Source organism: Homo sapiens, chromosome 13 (genome assembly GCF_000001405.40).
Source record: "Homo sapiens chromosome 13, GRCh38.p14 Primary Assembly".
Lineage (NCBI taxonomy): Eukaryota > Metazoa > Chordata > Mammalia > Primates > Hominidae > Homo > Homo sapiens.
In genome coordinates, this window is record NC_000013.11 from 109,395,793 (window position 1) to 109,416,292 (window position 20,500).

General features: G+C 42.2%; 2 long non-coding RNA genes across 2 annotated transcripts; one reads left to right on the forward strand and one right to left on the reverse strand.

Annotated features, from left to right (window-relative positions):
* Positions 1-2,640: 2,640 nt before the first annotated feature.
* LOC105370359 (uncharacterized) lies at positions 2,641-8,512 on the reverse strand. Its single transcript, XR_001750017.3, has 3 exons — positions 7,159-8,512; positions 6,239-6,749; positions 2,641-5,097 (listed from the first exon to the last, which is right to left on the reverse strand). It is a non-coding gene; the product is annotated as an uncharacterized LOC105370359 (long non-coding RNA).
* LINC00399 (long intergenic non-protein coding RNA 399) lies at positions 4,904-5,849 on the forward strand. The gene is made up of 2 exons (NR_126361.1): positions 4,904-5,016; positions 5,549-5,849. It is a non-coding gene; the product is annotated as a long intergenic non-protein coding RNA 399 (long non-coding RNA).
* Positions 8,513-20,500: the final 11,988 nt, after the last annotated feature.

Genomic DNA, 20,500 nt, shown 5'->3' on the forward strand with positions numbered 1-20,500 from the left:
TGAGAAGACGGCCCTCTAGGAACCAGGAAGCGGGCTCTCACCAGACACCGAGTCTGTCGGTGATTTTCTCCTGGATTTCCCAAACTCCAGAGCTGTGAGGAACCAATTTCTGTTGTTAGAAACGACCCAGCTTATGGGATTTTGTTATAGCACCCAAATGGACTTAGGCCTTGTTTTATGATTTCAAACATGACAGGAGCAAGTTGATCTACATTAATTGACCTATCTAATTAGTCTTTTCCTGGAATAAAGTTTCTCAGAAAGTGGGTATAAAATCTTAGAGCAGTGATTACTTTATGGGTAAATAGGCAAATATAATTTTCATTTCAACACAGTTACTTTCAGGGTGAAATTGGCTACTATTGATAATGACAACAGGACAACAGATAGAAAACCAGGATTGTCCTGGACACCATGGAAAGTTCTGGAAAGGAAATTAGAAACAAGATGAACAGAGAAAAGAAAGACACAAGGATATGCTGAAACATTTTGAAACACTGTCACAATGACTAGTAGAGGAACATACTAGTATGTAGTAAACAAACTTAAGCTCACTGAAAAAGATGGAGTAAAAACATAAGCGTAGGAAACAGCCAGTCTCTAGAACAGTAAACATCCCTGTAAATAGGCCACTGCTGTGACCACAGGGCAGGAGGGCAAACAAACAATTGCATGTATCCACATTGTAGAAAGAACATCAGGTTCAGAATGATTCATTCATACAACTCTGTCTCGGCGTGAAGGATTCACACATATACACAGACAAGAAGATAGGAGACGGCCAGGCGCGGTGGCTCAGGCCTGTATGTAATCCCAGCACTTTGGGAGGCCGAGGCGGGTGTATCATGAGGTCAGGAGATCGAGACCATCCTGGCTAACACGGTGAAACCCCGTCTCTACTAAAAAAAAATACAAAAAATTAGCCGGGCGTGGTGGCAGGTGCCTATAGTCCCAGCTATTCGGCAGGCTGAGGCAGGAGAATGGCGTGAACCTGGGAGGCAGAGCTTGCAGTGAGCCAAGATCGCACCACTGCACTCCAGCCTGGGTGACACAGCGAGACTCTGTCTCAAAAAAAAAAAAAAAAAAAAAAAAGACAGAAAAGAAGATAGGAGACGTCTCAGCTGCACCATGGACAAGCCTCTCCAGGCATAATCTTCAGTTTATCCTAAGAATATATTAACCGGCAACTTGTTTTCTGATTATTCACTAAAGTCAACTCAGTTATAAAACAACAGACAGTTTACAAAGATAAGGATCATAGAGTGACAGGAGGGGAAGCCACCTAAAGAAGGCATTGATGATCAAGGATAGAAAATTGCAAAGCAGATGTAGAGGGGTCAAGGAATATTATATCTTGAGTACAGTAAAGGGGGGTGGATGAGTTATAATTCCATCTTGCTGCCCTCAGCTCTATTGATTCTTCGGCTCCTTAAATATGAAAATAGAAGAAAGGCAAACACTTAACAGGTATTTTTAAAAATCTGGATGGGCTAAGCTAAATCCATATGGGCCCATTCCACTTGATATGCAGGTGAGCACATAGTCCTTTCACGGCAATGGCAAAGGTGAAGTTACACCTGTATTGCTTTCTTGGAGCCCTGGGAAATATTGGTCACCTGAACTCCTCAAAAACAAGTGTGGAGAAAGGGAAGTGAGCAACAAGGTACCTGGTGTCATTGTCCTGGTAGAAGCACTGCGGGGAGGAGTCCTGCAAGCTGCAATCAGCTGAGTCAGGGAAGGACAGGACAGAGGCCCTGGCCAAGTTTCCTTTAAGAAAATAGCAATTTTCTCCCACAAGTAACGTGACATTCAATTTCACCCAATATCCACACCTGACTTTTGAAGGTCAGAGAACTGACAGTGTGTTTTATTTTGTCAGCAGTCAAAGAATACGGGGAATGTGGGAGAGTACTATTATGCCTGGTTTTTTTGTTTTGTTCTGTTTTGTTTTTTAGACTGAGTCTCAGTCTGTTGCCCAGGCTGGAGTGCAATGGTGCAATCTCAGCTCACTGCAACCTCTGCCTCCTGGGTTCAAGCTATTCTCCTGCCTCAGTCTCCTGAGTAGCTGGGATTACAGGCATGCACCACCACACTGGCTAATTTTTTTGTGTTTTTAGTAGAGGTGCGGTTTCACCATGTTGGCTAAGCTGGTCTGACCTCAGCTGATCAGCCCACCTTGGCCTCCCAAAGTGCTGCTGGGATTACAGTGTGAGCCACCCCGCCCAGCCGATTATTAGACCTGTTTTATGATGTACAATTTGATTTAAGAAATCTTAAGGAAAAACAGCAAATGCAAGATATTTAATGCAAAGCAGAGATAGTTTTCCTTTAGTAGAATTGTCTTAACAATCATCATACTGTCTTCCACAATGGTTGAACTAATTTACATTCCCACCAACAGCATCAACACGTTCCTATTTCTCCACATCCTTTCCAGCATCTGTTGTTTCCTGACTTTTTAATGATCGCCATTCTAACTTGCGCCATTCTAACTGGTGAGACGGTATCTCATTGTGGTTTTGATTTGCATTTCTCTAACGACCAGTGATGAAGAGCTTTTTTTCATGTTTGTTGGCCACATAAATGTCTTCTTTAGAGAAGTGTCTGTTCATATCCTTTGTCCACTTTTTGATGGGGTTGTTTTTTTTTTTCTTGTAAATTTGTTTAAGTTCCTTGTAGATTCTGGATATTAGCCGTTTGTTAGATGGATAGATTGCACAAATTTTCTCCCATTCTGTAGGTTGCCTGTTCACTCTGACAATAGTTCTTTTTGCTGTGCAGAAGCTCTTTAGTTTAATTAGATCCCACTTGTCAATTTTGGCTTTTGTTGCCATTACTTTTGGTGTTTTAATCATGAAGTCTTTGCCCATGCCTATGTCCTGAAAGATATTGCCTAGGTTTTCTTCTAGGCTTTTTATGGTGGTTTGAGGTCTTATGTTTAAGTCTTTAACACCATGGAATACTATGCAGCCATAAAAACGGATGAGTTTATGTCTTTTGCAGGGACATGGATGAAGCTGGAAACCATCATTCTCAGCAAACTAACACAGGAACAGAAAACCAAACACTGCATGTTCTCACTCATAAATGGGAGTTGAACAATGAGAACACATAGAAACAGGGAGGGGGACATCACACACCTGGGCCTGTTGAGGGGAAGAATAGCATTAGGAGAAATACCTAATGTAGATGACAGGTTGATAGGTGCAGCAAACCACCATGGCATGTGTATACCTATGTATCAAACCTGCACGTTCTGCACATATATACCAGAATTTAAACTACAATAATAATTTTAAAAATCACTAAACAACAACAACAACAACTAAAAACCATTCATCATATTGTGTCCTGAATTGGTTCCTTCCAGTGGGTTCTTGGTCTCGCTGACTTCAAGAATGAAGCCGCAGACCCTCGTGGTGAGTGTTACAGTTCTTAAAGATGGTGTGTCTGGAGTTTGTTCCTTTAGATGTTCAAATGTGTCCAGAGTTTCTTCCTTCTGGTGGGTTCGTGGTCTTGCTGACTTCAGGAGTGAAGCCACAGACCTTCGCAGTGAGTGTTAAAGCTCTTAAGGGTGGTGCAGAGCCAAAGAGCAGCAAGATTTATTGTGAAGAGCGAAAGAACAAAGCTTCCACAGCGTGGAAGGGGACCCCCGCGGGTGGTCATTGGTGGCTCTGGTGGCCAGCTTTTATTCCCTTATTTGGCCCTACCCACGTCCTGCTGATTGGTCCATTTTACAGAGTGCTGATTGGTGTGTTAACAATCCTTTAGCTAGACAGAAAAGTTCTCCAAGCCCCTACTCGACCCAGGAAGTCCAGCTGGCTTCACCTCTCAGTATTATCTCCCCTAGCCAATCAAAAACGTTTAGGGTACCAGATATGGTAGCTCACTCCTGTAATTCCAGCATTTTGGGAGGCTGAGGCTGGCAAATTGCTTGATCTCAGGAGTTTTAGACCAGCCTGGGAACATGGCAAAACGCTGTCTCAAAAAAAAAAAAAAAAAAAAATTGAAGGGTGTGATGGCCTGCGCCTGTAGTCTGGCTACTTGGGGGTAGGGGACTGGAGGTAGGGGAGTGAGGGTAGGGGACTGGGGGTAGGGGACTGAGGTGAGGGTTTCTCTTGAGGCCCAGAATTCGAGGCTGCAGTGAGCTATGATTATGTCATTCCATCCCAGCCTGGGTGACAAAGTGAGACCCAGTCTCAAAAAAAAAAAAAAAGAAAAGAAAAGAAAAAAAAAAGTTTAGGGCACTATTATTTCCTAAATGTAATTATAAACTGAATTCCTTGGAAATATTCATTTGAATTGACTAAAACATGATAATATTATGTCAATTTACGTTTCTAAATGTATTTTTATTATTTTCATCCTTATTAGATTATTTCCTAGCTGCTTTCAAATTAGTAATCATAATTATGCAAAAACAAACGTAAGTCATCAAAAGGTAGGCATGTCAGCATTAAACCTGCTATTTTTAGGATAAGATCCACTTTCCGTGAAGTTTGTTTTATTGCTTCCTAGTTCTCTGTGCAGAAATGTGCTCCGGGAGGCCTGCCCTGCTCCGCCCAGCTGTCAATCTGCTGCGCGTTTCCCTCACCAGCTACTGCTTCCTCCTGGGCCTCCCGGCATTCACCAGCCAGGAGGCAGAACTTGGCCTCCCTTAATCCTGAATAGGCATGCAGGGTTACATGCTAGACACAAAGGAAGCCACAGCCAGCAGAAGGCGAGCCGACAAGAACAAGGAAATGGTTCTGCCGTCACATCCCCTGGAATCTCTGTGCCTTGGTGTCTCCGTTGGTAAAGACAGGATGTCCTAGATCTCCAAGGTTTCTTGAAAAACTAAAACCCATTATTGTTTAATGCCTTCTAGAAGTTGCCTAGGAAACACTTCTTAGAAAAGATTCACAAACAGACCTGGAATGAATCCTTCTCGCTCTTCATACACTGAGACAGGTTGAAATCTAAGACCATGGCAGGGAGAAGCCGCACGCGGAGTCGCACTGTCAGGATCCAGGATCGGTAGGAAACAGGCTCTGTGCCCTGCTCTGGCACCAGCCGGGCTGGCCCTTATCTGAATCCATTCCAAATGCTTGACGCTACCTTAAGCCACAGAACTCAGAATTAGATATAATAGGCGAGGCAAATGCTCACTATTCATGATACAAGATAAATCCTGATAAGGATAATAAAAGTAGAAGTTATCTGTGATTAGCTTTAAACAAAGCTTTGCTGCCTTGAAAACACTTTCTTTTCCCATATCTATATCATTTTCTCCCACGGTAATTTCAAATCATGACCTTTTATTTGGAATTTGAGCTCTGTACTTTCCCCTCTAAATGAACTATCCTTAGAAACATTAATTATCTTTGAAAGCATAATTTCAGTAGCAGCAAAAGAATTCACTGTAATTTAAAAATTCTAGTATTGGTTATTTCTATATTTTACTAATACAACTAACGCTGTCATAAGCACCCTTGTGATAACCCCTTGCTTCAAGACTATTTCTTATGTTAAATTACCATAATTTTTTTTTTTTAATTCATGCATTCAGATCTTAATCAGATTGCAAGTTCTTCAGGCTTGGAACCATATCACCACAATGAACAGCCAAGTATAAAGGGTCCCTGGGGAAACCCCAACCGGCCTGCGCCCTGGGAGAATGGGGTGGAGCCACGGAAGTTCACGCGCTTTGCAGAGGGGAGGAGCCTGGCCTCTCCTGATCCTGGATAGTACCTGAGATTCAATCGCTGAGGCGGGAAAACCCGCTAGCAGGACTGTTGCTTTGCTGAGAGTCCCTGTTTCCCTTTTTTTCCTTTTGGCCCGATAAATTCCATTTTTCTCACCCTTCAAAATCTCTGTGACCCTAATCTCTCATGGCCATGTGACATGGGCCCTAAAGAGAAAGTCCTACAACAATAGCTTTCATATGATAATATCAGTGATAAGCTGTCGTTTACAATGGACGCCTCTCAGGAAGGTGTCCCTCAATAACTTGAACATTTAAAAAATTAAAAGATTGATTGTAGAGAGTCCACCTATGAAATGAGCACATATTAGGGCAGAGCGAGAAAATCAACGTAAAGAAACAGAGCAGCTGGCATGTCTACAAAACTCAACTTGAACATAGTGGGGGATATTAGCATAACCGAAGAAAACCGCTGTCAGCAGTTTGGGAGGGAAGGACTGGGTCTGAACACACAGACAAATTATAGCAAGAGCCACCAAGGTGGACGTTGCTTACCCAGTGCTCATGGAGTGAGTCAGAGCCCAAAGTATTCTTCCCCTGAGCAAAGCCATCTCTATTGTCAGATGCAGAAGCCCCAGCCAGGGGCCCGGAGATGCCTGGATTCTTCTAAATCCTGCAGGTCTTCGAGGCCTCTTGCAACTGTAATTGAGTTTCCTGTGTAGGTGCTCAGGGGAGAGAAAGCTCGGTTATTGAGACTTTCATTCTCCTGGACTTTGTAGAGTGATTTCTCATTGAATTTAAGAAATAACACACAGTCATTCAATTAGCAAAGCTTTAGCATGCAGCAGCTCTTCGCCAGGTCTTATGCCAGGCCCTGGGGATGAAAGGACGAACAAGATAACCCTGCCCTCAGGGAGCTTCCAGTCCAAAGAAACCCAGGAGGCTCAACACAATGTGATGATTTCTGTGACGTGGTTAAGTCCGGGGGGCCATAAAAAGCGGGGCCTCTAACCAGGTCTGTGGGCAGGCGAGCACTGGAGAAAGTTTCTATGAAGAGACAGCGTATCTGGATGAAAGCACACAGAAGAGTGTAAATTAGTCAGGTAAATGAATGAGGATGAGAGACCAGGGCTACGCAATGAGGAAGAAGTGGCTTCCAGGTAGAAAACAGGTGTGAGCCATTTTGTCCTCAAGAATCTACAAACTGTTGTGTGTGGACGGGGCACAGGTATGAAGTTATAGACCAGTAAGAGATGGGGCTAGACACACAGGCATGGAGACTCCTCCCCAGCCATGTGCAGGAGATCACTCTAAGGTTTGTGAGCAAGGAAGTCACCTACCATTTACTTCTGCAAAGGTCTCTATCATTACAGGGTGACTACTCTGCCCAGTACTATTGTAAATACTTCCCATACATTGAGCTGCACACTGGGGCTTATTATTCTCATTTTACTGCTGAGAAACTGAGTCCCTACCTCTTGGGCCCTTGCCCAGAGCCACACATGTGGCAGCTGCAGAGCTGGTGCCTTGACTTGGGTCCCCTGAGCCTGGAGTCTTGTGCACACAACTGCCGTCATGCTACACTGCCAGCGGGCAGGTAGACTGAGACCAGGGCATGGCCCCTCATCTGCATGTAAGCAAGGCTGCTGCTTCTCTGTGTGGGTGATGCTGGTAGGGTTTCCTAACCCAGGCCAACAATGAAAACATTAAGTAACACTGGGTTCAGGGCCACCCATTGCAAAATACGTTGGTAAGATCCTGTTAGGTCTAAATTGATCTGTTTTTTAATGGCTCAGTTTCAGCTCCAGGCTTCAGCAGATGTGTCGTTGAGGCGGTGTAAGATGAAAGTACATATGGCCGAGGCCGTGAGCTAAATGCAGCAGTGGGCTGTGTCTGGAGAAGACAGCCTTTTGAAGTGTGTTGAAGAATAGTTAATGGCAAGAGAGAGTGCTTTGGACACATTGTGTGGTTTTTAAAGAAGGCTATAAAATTGATATGCTGTATAGTGGACATTGTGTTTCACATGTACACACCCAATGTATAAATAGAAAAACACAGGAAAAGATTATATCAAAATACAGAGTGGCAGACTTATACATGATTTTAGCTTTCTTCTATTTTCCACATTTTTTTATGATAAACACGCACTGTTTTGTATATTCAGGAATATTTTTTCTCCAAGAAGTTGTCACCAGAAACTTAAGAAAAAGCCTTTTTATTGAAATATGCATTTAAAAAGTGCACAAATGAAAATTTTACAGCTTGACAAGGCCCCAGAGTCAGCCCATGATGTAGCCGGTGCCCAGGTCTACCTAGGAGGAGAATATTACCACCCTTTCCAGAAGCTTCAGGCTCTGCAAAGATAAATTCTGATGCCACAAATAGTTTGCCTGTTTCTGAAGTTTATATAAGTGGAGTGCAGTGCAGTGTGTACCCTTTGGCATGTAGCTGATTTACATCAACACTGTGCTTATGAGGATTCTCCTGTGTTCCTGCAAGCGGCAATCATGTTTCCTTCTCTTTGCTACATCATGCTCCACTGTATGAACATGCTGCATTGAGATTGTTCCCGCCATGACTAGCTGGGCCCAGTTAATGCAAGTGCTCCACTTTAATAAGATTTTCAGAGTTTTCCAAAATGATTCTACCACATTACACCCTTGCTAACCATGCAGGTGAGTACTAGTTGCTCCACATTTTTACAGACACCTGTGTTCATTTTGCTCTTTCTGGTGGGTATCTAATGGGATTGTAGTGTGATTTCAATTTGCAATTTCTTCATGACAAATGAAGTTATGCACCTTTTCATATTGATGGCAGCGGCCATCACAGCAGTTGCAGCAGGGAGGCGCAGCTAGGGCTGCACACTCCATGGGGCCAGTGGACCCTGCCCCTTCTGAGTTGGGGCGGGAACTCCCTGGGTGCTGTTGCAGCCACCCAAACTGCAGCTGCAGACCCAGGCCTCCTGCTCTACAGAGTAGGCAGGAGCTGGGAACAAGCAGGAACCCTGCCCCTTTAGAGTCAGTGGGGGTAGGGAGCTCCTGGGTGCAGCCCAGGCACAGGACCCAGGCATCTCTGCAGCCTGTACCCATGGGGTCCTCAGGAAGGAACCCCCCATGTCCCTGCAGTCTCAGGAGTATCTTCCCCCACTGCCTGGCCTCTCTTTGTGCCACGAGCCTGCTCCCATCTCAGAGTAGGGATTGGGGCCAAGCCCCAAGGGCCATGAATGGCAGTGGGAGGCAGATTGATTCCTGAATGGAAATGGGCAGGTCCCCATGAAGGCCCCCCTTCAGGCTAGGGAGGGCCTGAAGGCTGGAGTGGGGACTCATGGTGCCTCTTCCAGCCCCACCCATGGCTGCCCATGGACCAATCAGCACGCATTTCCACCCCTCTGAGGTCCATAAAAGCCCTGGGCTCAGCCAGAGCAGGGCAGAGGATGGCCAGAGGACCAAGAGGGCAGAAAGAAGAGGAGACAACCAGCTGCAGAGAGGAGTACCCTCTCTGCTGATAGTTGGAGATGATGTGACAACCAGTTGCAGAGAGCAGCTACCATCTCTGATGAGAACTGCTGTGGGCAGAGATAAGCCACCCTCTCCAGGGCCTCCTCTCCGCTGAGAGCTGCAGACATCTGGAGGACTAGTTGAGAGGAGCTACCCTCTCCAGGGCCTCCTCTCTGCTGAGAACTGAACACTCAACAGATGGCCTGCCTGCAGAGAGGAGCTACCCACTGCAAGTCTCCTCTGAGCTATTCTAACACTCAATAAAGTTCATCTTCATCTTGTGCACCCTTCACTTGTCTGCATAACTCCTTCTTCCTGGACACAGGACAAGAGCTTGGGTAAAGGTGCTGTGGCCACAGAGGTTTCTGGCCAGAAAAATCGACACCCCAAACATCCCATAACAATATGGTTAATGGCTATGTGGATATTATCTTTTGTAATGTGACTTGATGGTTTTTTTTTAAAACCAATCTTTCCATTGACTTAATTGTCTATGTCTTACTGATTTGTAGATCTTGTTTATATCTTCCAGATACAAGTCTTTTGTATAATATGGGTAATTGCAAATATCTTGTTCTGCTCTGTTGATTGCCATTTCACCCTCTTACTGGTCTATTTTGATGAACTGAATTTATTCATTTTAATGCAGTCCAATTTATCATTTTTGTAAAAGATTCATGTTTTGGGGATCCTATTTAATAAATAGTTTTCTACTCAAAGTCATAAAGATATTCTGTTTTACTCTAAAAAGTGCTTTGTTTCACCTTTTACATTATGATATATTATCCATCAGGAATTGATATTTATCTATAATGTGATGTATGGGTCATGATATGTTTGTTCACTTTTCAAGTCTTCCAAATTAATTACCTAAAAATAATTTTTAAATTCTATACAGCACTCCCCCCCTCAAAAGACAATGGCCCTTCCTGAAAAAATAGTGTATAATAGCAAACCAAAGAAGAGTCCCTGATTAGGAAAGAAGGAGGCAGAAGCCATCAGGTATTGGACAGCAGTCATATATGTTTTCACATACATCTTTCTATATAGATATAGATATGTATGTACTTATATATCCTGTGAGCTGTGTCTTTGTATTCCCATTTTATAGATGAAAATAATAAAATGATAATAACAGAAATAAAGCAATTTGCCCATGGTCATACAGTTTGTAAATGGCAGAGACAGGATTCAAATTCCCATCTTATCTCACTCCAACAGCAATGTCCTTTCACTATTCCACACGCACGTAGCAAGGAAAACAGGTAATGATTATTCACTAGGATTCAGTTCCAAACCTACTTTCTCTAAGACTATCACTTGCAGTCCCACTGGCCGGGCACCATTAATTTTGTGCTTCCAATCCTCCAGATCAATAGGCAGGCAACTGAATGGATGGAATATATCCAATCTATTTCCTAAAATGGCTACAGTAACTGGATTGATTCTGCTGTGGTCCAGTTATTTCAGATATAAAGACAGTCCCTAGGAATGGATTATCTAGCCTGAAATGTCTCTCTGATAAATAAATTAACACTGCATTTGTCACTAACACCATTTGCATTTGAATGAACTTCTCAGACATCTCCGCAAGAAAAGAAGATCCCATACATAACCCAGCCTCTGGGACCCCTTTTGCAACACACTGCAAAGAATAATTTCTCTGAAAGTGACCCTGATGAAAAAGCATCACTTGCCTAATTGTTGTGAAAATGAAAGCTTTATCTTGTGTTTTTCTATGCCCTCTTTCCACAAACACATTAGGAGGCAATTGCTACTTTATGGTCTAACGCATTTAAGAGGGAAGAAAGCTGGGGCAGCTCAGCATTGCACGAGGCAAGCTGGGTGCAAAGAGGCTCATGGCACATGGTACAGGGCATGAGTGTTTCCTTGAACCACACTGGAAATCAGGCTGATAGCTGGCATTAGAGCTCAGGCAGTTCTTCAGCACCTCACATCTACCTGCTGGAATACATTTGCTCCTCTCATGACGTTAATATTCTAAAAAAACAAAGGTATACACCAATCCAATCAATACATTCTGAAACTCATGACCATCAAAGTTATGGAAATGTATTTTTTACATCTTCAATGTTCAGCTAAAAATCAATAAAAATCCATTATCTAATATTTCAACCGCTACACACTAGAGAAACAATTAGAAATAAATCTCTGCAAAGAAAAAAGTTAAACTGTCTTACACAATTACTAATTATTGATATTTATTTGTTATAATAGTATACCTGGTGGGCACTTACTGGTAATTAAATCTATATATAGTAGATCGAGACCTTGCATATATATTGTGACCATTTCAGTGAATAGTAAGATGCGAAGAGATGGACACTGGTTCAATATTCTTGGTTACTGCTCTAAACGCTGATTTAGTTTCACAATGTTTATTTAGGCACCACAGATCATTAATATTAAGTGAACAAAATGAAATACTGTAACAATCTAAAACTATGCCAGATTTAGTAACTGAGAAAAGGTAAGACGACGAAAATGTGCTTTGCTGTTCGAACAATAACACCCAACAAAACATGTTTGGTGAAATTGAGAATCTGGAAAGGAAGTCGAGACCCAAAGAATTAATACTGGTTCAAAAGGAGAAATTTCAATGCTGAGAATAGCTACAATCAGATGCTGACTTCTTTAAAGCACCCCACACCCCCACCCAAAGAGATGGCCATATAAGGTAGACTTTTTTTTTTTTTTTTTTTGAGATGGAGGCTTGCTGTGTCGCCCAGGCTGGAGTGCAGTGACAGATCTCGGCTCACTGCAACCTCCGCCTCCCAGGTTCCAGCGATTTTCCTACATCAGCATCCTGAGTAGCTGGGATTACAGGTGCTGGCCACCACGCCTGGCTAATTTTTGTATTTTCAATAGTCAGTGTTTTGCCATGTTGGCCAGGCTGGTCTGGAACTCCTGACCTCAGGTGATCCACCTGCCTTGGCCTCCCAAAGTGCTGGGATTACAGGTGTGAGCCACCATGCCCGGCTAAGGTAGGCTTTTGATAGATAAACCTTACAAGCACGTGTCTTGGATAAAGAAATTGAGGCTGAGAGAATGATCTGATTGACGTCATTGAGTCAGTCAAGGCTGTAACTTGGGTCCAGGCTGTGTCACTCTCAAGACCTGCTCATTCCCATTCATGGGAGGACTTCCCTGTCCAACAATTCCATCTAAATTTATTTGCATTTTTTAAATCATTTATTTTCTTAGGCCTGAGCCTCTTTAAATAGGGTACACCTTCTTAGAAAGCAAAACATTACAAAAAATATAGCATATCCTAAATGTCACAAGGAGGAATTATTTTTGGTACCTCAATGGTTCAAAAATCTGTTTATACACAGTCATAAACTTTAATGGAGGGGCCCCTATCCATTCATTCTCTTAACAAACATTTTTTAAGCATCTACTACGTGCCAGGTGCCATGCAGAGCACTGGGAATACCAGAATGGGTGAAAATCATGCCTGCCTATGAGAGTTCAAGAAGTAGAGCAGAAAGCAGTGGCTAAAGGAAATGGCATTCACCCTGGATTGGCTCATAACTCAGTTGGGGGTGCTCAAGGGAGTTTTTTGGGGGGCAGGTGAACACAGATCTGAGTTTTATGTGACAGGTAGGAGTTTTGTCTGGGTAGTCTGGGAAGCAAGGACTGGATGTTGACCTCAGAAAGGCTTGAAAACGTGGGACTCACTAAAGAAATCAGTCTTTTTTCAGTCCAGCAGTTCAGAGGTGTAGTATTAGAAGATTGGGAAAGATTGCAGATTGTGAAATTTGCTGGCCAAGCTATGAAGTTCAATTTAACTCAGGGTAATAGGGAGCCACTGACAGGTCTGAAGCAGAGGAATAACATACTCACATTTGGCTTTTTAAAATAAATTACTCTGGCTGCTTTGAAAGGAGATAAATGGGAAGGGAATGAGGATAAGAATGAGGTCCAGGGAAACCAGTCACGAGGTTCTCAGCCATGGCAAAGTGAGAGGCACGGCGCAGACATTGTACAGGCTGGAACCAGCAGACCAGCCGTGGCTGATGCCTGATGACACAGGGTGAGGGCAGAGGTGGAATCACGGAAAGTCACGAGTTTCTTGTTGAAGTCTCCACTGGGTGTGTTAAAGCAAGGTTAGCCTCAAGCTGCCTCCTTCCATGTGTGACATTCGGCCAAAAGGTTTCTTGGTACGTCGTGAACTATAACCTAAATAGAGCTGTAAACAGACTGTAGCCTACTCTTGTGCCAATCACCAAGTGTTGGCCTATCAAAGGTGGCCAACTTTTCAAATCTTTTCAAATAAAGGGAACGCGGAGCTGTAGCCATCTGGCCGTTTCTGCACCTCACTTCCGAGTTCTGTCCATAAATCTTCTTCCACCCAGTGGCTGTGCTGCCAGAAGACTGCCCAATTTGCCAATCATTCTTTGCTCAATTAAATGCCCTTACATTTAATTTGGCTGAAGTTTTTCTTTTAACAGATTGAAACCTCAGTGTGGGAAGACTGGGAATCCAGGAGAAAAAGAAGGTTGGTGGGTAGATGGATTCAGCTTGGGAAGTTATGTTTAAGGTGCTTGTGTGAAATGCCTCAGGTGATTCCACAAACAGGCTGACTGTGCAGGAGGCCAGGCTGAGGACTCAATTGTGGCGGTCAGGAGAGTGTAGACAGCAAGCCACATGTGCCAGCGTATGCGGGGGACAGCCACAAAGCGAAGAGCCCCCAAATGGACTCAGAGAACTGGAAACACCTGAGCAGCAAGAAAACAGAGCCTGAGAGGGAATTTGAGAAGGAGCTCCAGGGAGGATTGGAGCAGCTCTAGCCCCAGAAACCAAGGGAATGAGCCAGGCAGGGGGGCCGTGTCTCTCCAGCCCATCAGCACATCATCTCCCCGTTTACTTACCGTATTTTGTTGTTGTTGTTGTTGAGACGGAGTCTCATTCTGTCACTCCGTCAGACTGGAGTGCAGTGGTGCAATCTTGGCTCACTGCAACCTCTGCCTCCTGGGTTCAAGCGATTCTCCTGCCTCAGCCTCAGGAGTAGCTGGGATTACAGGCGCCCGCAACCACGCCTGGCTAATTTTTGTATTTTTTAGTAGAGATGGTGTTTCGCCATGTTGGCCAGGCTGGTCTTGAACTCCTGGCCTCAGGTGATCCAACTGTCTCAGCCTCCAAAAGTGCTGGGATTACAGGTGTAAGCCACTGCGCCCGGCTGGTATTTTCATTATTTAAAAATTAGTGTGGGTTTATTGGTTAAAACCTAGACAATGGAAAACCTCATAAGAAAATATAATTTTTCCATAATTCTATCCCTGCAAAATAACCACTTTTCACACGTCTTTCAATTATATGCCTTTATACTGCTTTTACCTTAGTACCTTGAAAAAAATACTAGAAGATCAAAGTTGAGAAATAATTGCTTTTTTAGTTTTTCTGCAGTTGACTTTTGTACTTTTATGTACAATGATATCCACTTTTAGCTTTTTGAGAAAAATTCACTGATTATTCTGATGTTGAAGATAAAGGAGCAATAAACTTTTCCATGGGACTACGTGGTAAATGAATTTTATTTTCTTTCTGTAGGGAAATAGTTTTTATGATGGATTTCTATAAATATGTTTTAAATTCTTAAATATATAAACACCGAAAAATGTAGTTTAAAATTATTCTAGTCCAAAATCCAAAGGAAACAATTTTTTAGCTTTTTTAACTCAGAAGGTTTATACCACTCTCACCAGTATTTGAAGGACCCATTTCAGTACAATTGTTTTTTCCTGTGCTTTGTGCAAAGTACCTATTATTTGGGGTCTTTCAATGTTTTGAATATTTTGTTTTCACATTTTCTCCATTCTAGTGACTTATCTCTAGGCTTCTGATTAAAGACAATTTTAGGTAATATGTCAGGCATAAAACCAAGTACTGGCCCATATGTCCAGAGTCTACAAAAATAGACTAAAATAGGTGTGCTGTGCATGGCCATCTGCAGCTCGGGCAACCTTTGGTGTGTTTGGCTGCGTGCGAGCAAACCTTTGACTTTTCCTTGGCCGGGCTCTATAAGGACAGGGGAGCAGGACCAGGACCAAAGATAAAGGTAGGCCCAACTTGACTTTCCAACTCCTGCCAGCTCCTCCGTGTTTAGTGCCGCGTTGCCTCCATGTGTCTGAAGACGAGTTCATCGGCAGACTCCAAGACTGTCGAGAGGGTGGAGATCACCTGCCCACAGAACATGACTCTGTCTTGTTTCCGTAGACTGAAGAACTGGGCAGCAGAATGGCATAATGCCCACCTCTACTGCTGCTCACACCTTCTTCGCCAGCGGTATAACTTTTAAGTACGGACAAGTTCTGAAAAATTTCCTATGCGGTATCTTTCAGAAAACTCCCGTACCCGTTAAGTTTTTTAATTGCACCTTGAAATGACCGTGGCAGAAATAGCCACATTCTCATATTTTAAAATGCTGCAATGTTTTGAGTGAAGCAGTGAACATCTTCAAGATTCTGGCTAAATTCCATAGCCGTATCTCAGACAGTGTTTCTCAAATCTGTGTCATCTCTAGACAAAGGCAATTAATTGCACTAGTCTGTAAGCAGAGGAAACAATTTTCATTCTTTAATAGGCACCAACTGGAATGAACCCTGAGATACATGAAGCCTTTTTTTTCTCCATGTGCAAATCAGCACATGGTACAAGTTGTTCTTAGCCAGGTACATTTTGCTATGTCACTTGGTGCAGAATAAATCATACCAGAAAAGGCACAATATTACCTTCCCTGCAGTCTTCAACAAGGGATGTATCCAGGAGCAAATTAGGATTCTTGCACCCAAAATTAACACAGGCTGTAGTTTTGCAACCAATAACAACCAACAGCTATTTAGAACAACAAATGTGTTCTCCTGTCAGACAAGGTAGAAGGAGAGCCAGGCACCCTGAGCAGGGAAGCCACATCACCATCTTTTGTAGCTGTGAACTCAGGTTGAAAAATGAAGAGAAATGTTTTAAAAGTGTCAAATTTACCAAGTCAAGTTTTAAAAACCTGCACCCTCCTGATAACATTTTATATGCTTTCTTTGGAACACAAAATCCATGGAAACTTAGGTGTGGCCTACATAATTGTTTAAATTCTGAGTTTTTGCATTTTTGAATTCTGAGGTTGAAAACTGATTTTAAAATAAAATATCAAAACAGAATTTTGCCTTCCATGACAAGCAATGTCAGACTCAAAATAATTTACTATTTGCAGTTGTGTCATTAAAAAATCTAGGTGGCATGTTGTTGTATTGAACTTGCGTTTAAATTTGAGGTCAAGAACCTAAGCCTCATTCGTCTCATACAGAGAACTGCACACTTGTGTGCACACAAATACATGCATGCTCAAGGGTGCACACGCACACACACATACACACACACACAGCAGACACTACTGGCTCATCCGTCCTGTTAATTATCCCTGACCCTTGCAGTTTTTCCCTCTTCCCCTCCCTCACACTGGGGTGTCTTGGAGCCCTCAGCAGCGTGGTGTGCTACATGGACTGTCTGGCCTGTGGAGACCTTTCTGTCTGGGACAGTACCATTCTGTCTAGACAGGGAGGGACCATATGTTTTGGTTGTTATTATCAACACCAAAAGCACCTCTCTACAACCCTTTGCTGAGACTCCTTTTAAAAAATTTTTAATTCCAGAAGCGCTTGTTGCAGAAACCCTGGAAGGTCAAACCCTGATTCAACAGCATTGCGTCTCTTCCTTGATTCTGCAGAACAGTCTGCCCTCCCCCGTGGCGAGTGGCTGCAGCCGCTGCAGTTATCTGTGCACGAGGGCCGTCTTGCTTGCAAACGATGAACACAATTCTGCCTGGTTGGGAAGGGGAGTGAGCCTGGCCACGCAGACAGGCAGAGCTGGGTTTAAAACGCTGCTGGTTTAGAGGAGCTCAGCAGTTCACAGCTCCCAATTAGGCTGGCTGTAAATGCACAGGCTTTAACCTCCAAAGGCAAAAGCTTAGATGTGCAGGGCGATTCCAAGAAATATTAAACATCAAATAGAAATATCATAATCCACACAAAGCTTATTACTATGCAGGTGTTAGCCCAGTAGTTCAAAGGTACTCCTTATATTTAATGAAGGGAATTAGTTCAATAAAAGTTTATATGCTGCATGTTTTCCATATTGTACATGCATTCTTTACATTATGTGTTATTCTACTTGCCATAATGAAATCTTCAAAGAACTAAAATGCCCCGTGGCTAACAGATTTTACAGATCAGACACCATGGGACAAATAACTTTTGCACTTTTGATTGTACCTAGTGAAAGGGGTTTTATTTTGTTTTTCATTGTACTCAGACAAAAATCCAGAACTCCATTTCTGAGACATTTTAAAGGACCTATCAGTAAAAGGAAGAAGTAGCCTGTTCACTTTGAACTTGTCCTAAGTTTCTTTGTCATAGAACTACTATTCCCCAAAAGGTATGCTTTGAAGAGATATTTTGCGTTTGTTTGTAAACGAGTCTTACTATAGCTCGTACTGAACTAAAACCCCGACGCATAGAACTCATTTCTTTTCTCAAAAAATACATCTTAAAGAATCGTCTTATATTTAAGAAAAAGAAGGCAACAATATCGTTTTATGTCAGGAAAATAGAAAAAGCTGGGTGCAGTCTGTTCTAGTGCATTGAATTTCTCTTCTACATTTGCAAAACTAATTTGGAAAATTCAGACTGATACTAACCCCGTTCGGGGTTCATGCGGATATGTTTTAATACCCCACGCGCTTCTCAGTAGTAGGAAGTCCTCCTGCTGCTGATCCTGCCAGTTTTCTCATCTCAGCTTGTCCCCTGCACATACATTGAGTCACCAGAGGTTTGATAAAATATTCTAGGTTTATTAAATATTTGATCCTTACAGACATTAAAGTGAAGTCATCTGATTTTTTGGCTTCTGTCTGACTGATTAAAATACTCCTCCTCCTCCCACTCCTCCTACTAATAATATTACTACGGAGAAGATATGGCTAGTACTCAAGATCATGTAGCATGTTAGGAATAAAAAGGAAAAAATTTTGCTTTGTTCATACCCTAAACTTATTAAGCATCTTTGTTTCTAACAAATCGGAAAAATAGGCATATTAAGTACTATAATTATTTTGCACTTTGATGTCATTAAATTGTAATAATAAATAAAAAATAAAGCAAGAGGAAGAGAAAAAAAGACAAAAAGAATGAGAACAAACTCTTCAGTTTAATTAGATCCCATTTGTCAATTTTTGCTTTTGTTGCAATTGCTCTTGGCATCTTTGTGATGAAATATTTGCCTGTGTCTATGTCCTGAATGGTATTGCCCTAGGTTGTCTTCCAGGGTTTTTATAGTTTTGGGTTTTACATTTCAGCCTTTAATCCATCTTGAGTTAATTTTGTATATAGTGTAAGGAAGGGTTCCAGTTTCAGCCTTCTGCATGTGGCTAGCCAGTTCTCCCAGCACCATTTATTAAATAGGGAATCCTTTCCCCATTGCTTGTTTTTGTCAGGTTTATTGAAGATCAGATGGTTGTAGGTGTGCAGTCTTATTTCTGGGTTGTCTATTCTGTTCCATTGGTCTATGTGTCTGCTGGGGTGGGAGGAGGGAGAGAATCAGGAAAAATAACTAATGGGTACTGGGCTTAATAGCTGGGTGATGCAATAATCTGTACAACAAACCCCCATGACACGAGTTTTTCTGTGTAACAAACCTGTACTTGTATCCCTGAACTTAAAATAAAAGTTAAAAAAAAAAAAAAGTAGGATGCTGGGGGAAAAATGAGAAAAAGAAAGAATATTTAACCACAACTGCAGCCCAGGCCACTCAGTTCTCCCAAATGCTGAGCTTCTGGGTCTCTGCGTTAATTCCCGTCAAATAACATGAAAGCTGGAGGATCCAGAGCCGTTCCTTGCAGAAACTGACTTTCAATTTGGCACCTCTTATGCTGTCTTGAAGAAAATATCAATTTAACTGACAGTTTTTGAAGGAAAGTGGATATCATAATGTTTTAAAATTTCCAAATATTAGCTCATGCTCATGACTGTCTTAGAACATGTTGTACTCAACTTAATCTCACATCCCGAGAAACTGAGGCAAAAAGTGGGCTCTAGTTATTTGCATAAAGGCATGGAAACTTAAAGAAAAAGTCATTTCAGAATCTCCGTGTTAAAGGGGACACTATCTCTTAATCATGCCTTATACACCATAATTTCCATAGTTTATCTTGAGATTTCTTTTCTTCCCCCTGTTTTAATAAAAAATTTCCCAGGAAATTGCCCAATAACTGCCACATAAGGGAGACAGATGTTCTAAGAAAAGAACAATTTTATTTTATAAGGTATCTTTTAACATACGCATGTGAAGTCTCATAAATTGTCTAAGAGTAACAACATTCAATAAAAGGTAAGGCTATAACGGAATTTTAAAAATGTGATTCTGCAAAAAGCTAATCTAATATAATTATGTGCGTCTGAAGATAAAAATGTATCAAGGAAAAAAACTCCGAGTATCTAGGGTAGTGATGGGTAACGTGCCTCTTAGGCTTACCTCATTTTTCCCAAGTATAACTTCTCCAACTCTAGTTTTCTTTCACCCCATATGACTATAATAACTTCGGGAAAAGGGTATTTTTTTTTTCCTTATTATAAAAGCAAATAATAACTATTGTGAACATTTTAGAAAGAAAAAAAAATATGAAAGACAAAACTAAGAACTCCCCACAACACCATTACCTGGATGAAACTGATGTTAATTTGTCTTATTTATTTCTAGCTCCGTTTTTTCCTCTGCAAGGGAAATAGGAGAAATATATTGAAAAATACATGAATACAGATGTGTTGCGTTTCTTTCATTTTCATTTATGAGATGGCCTCCGTAGTCATCTCAAATACACAACTGTCTAGAGGAAATTAAGATTTTATCTCAGAGATACCCAGAGAAATATTCCGCTTCTGACATTCAAAATGGGCATTTTTCCCCCAGAAGACACTGCTGCAAAAGACAAGGATTTGGTTTGTTTGGATCTCAGGCTCAGAAGTGTCAGTCATTCACACTTCTCGGTTCACGGAACATTTTCGTAATTGTTTTGAGCTGGGAAAGGGTTTTGTAAATTCCACCATCTCTTCCTTTCACAGGTCAAAATGTCCTTGTCCATTGAATCAGCCAATGAGGATCAGGAGACCGAGGGCGGAGCGAGGCTGGAGGAGGTGTTCCTGGCTCCTCGCCTGCCACTTAGAGTTGGCCTTTACTGCAGACCTGGGCTCCTCTCAGGCTCTAGAGAGTTGCCCTCCTCAGGTGCTGGAAGCCACCCCCTCCTCTT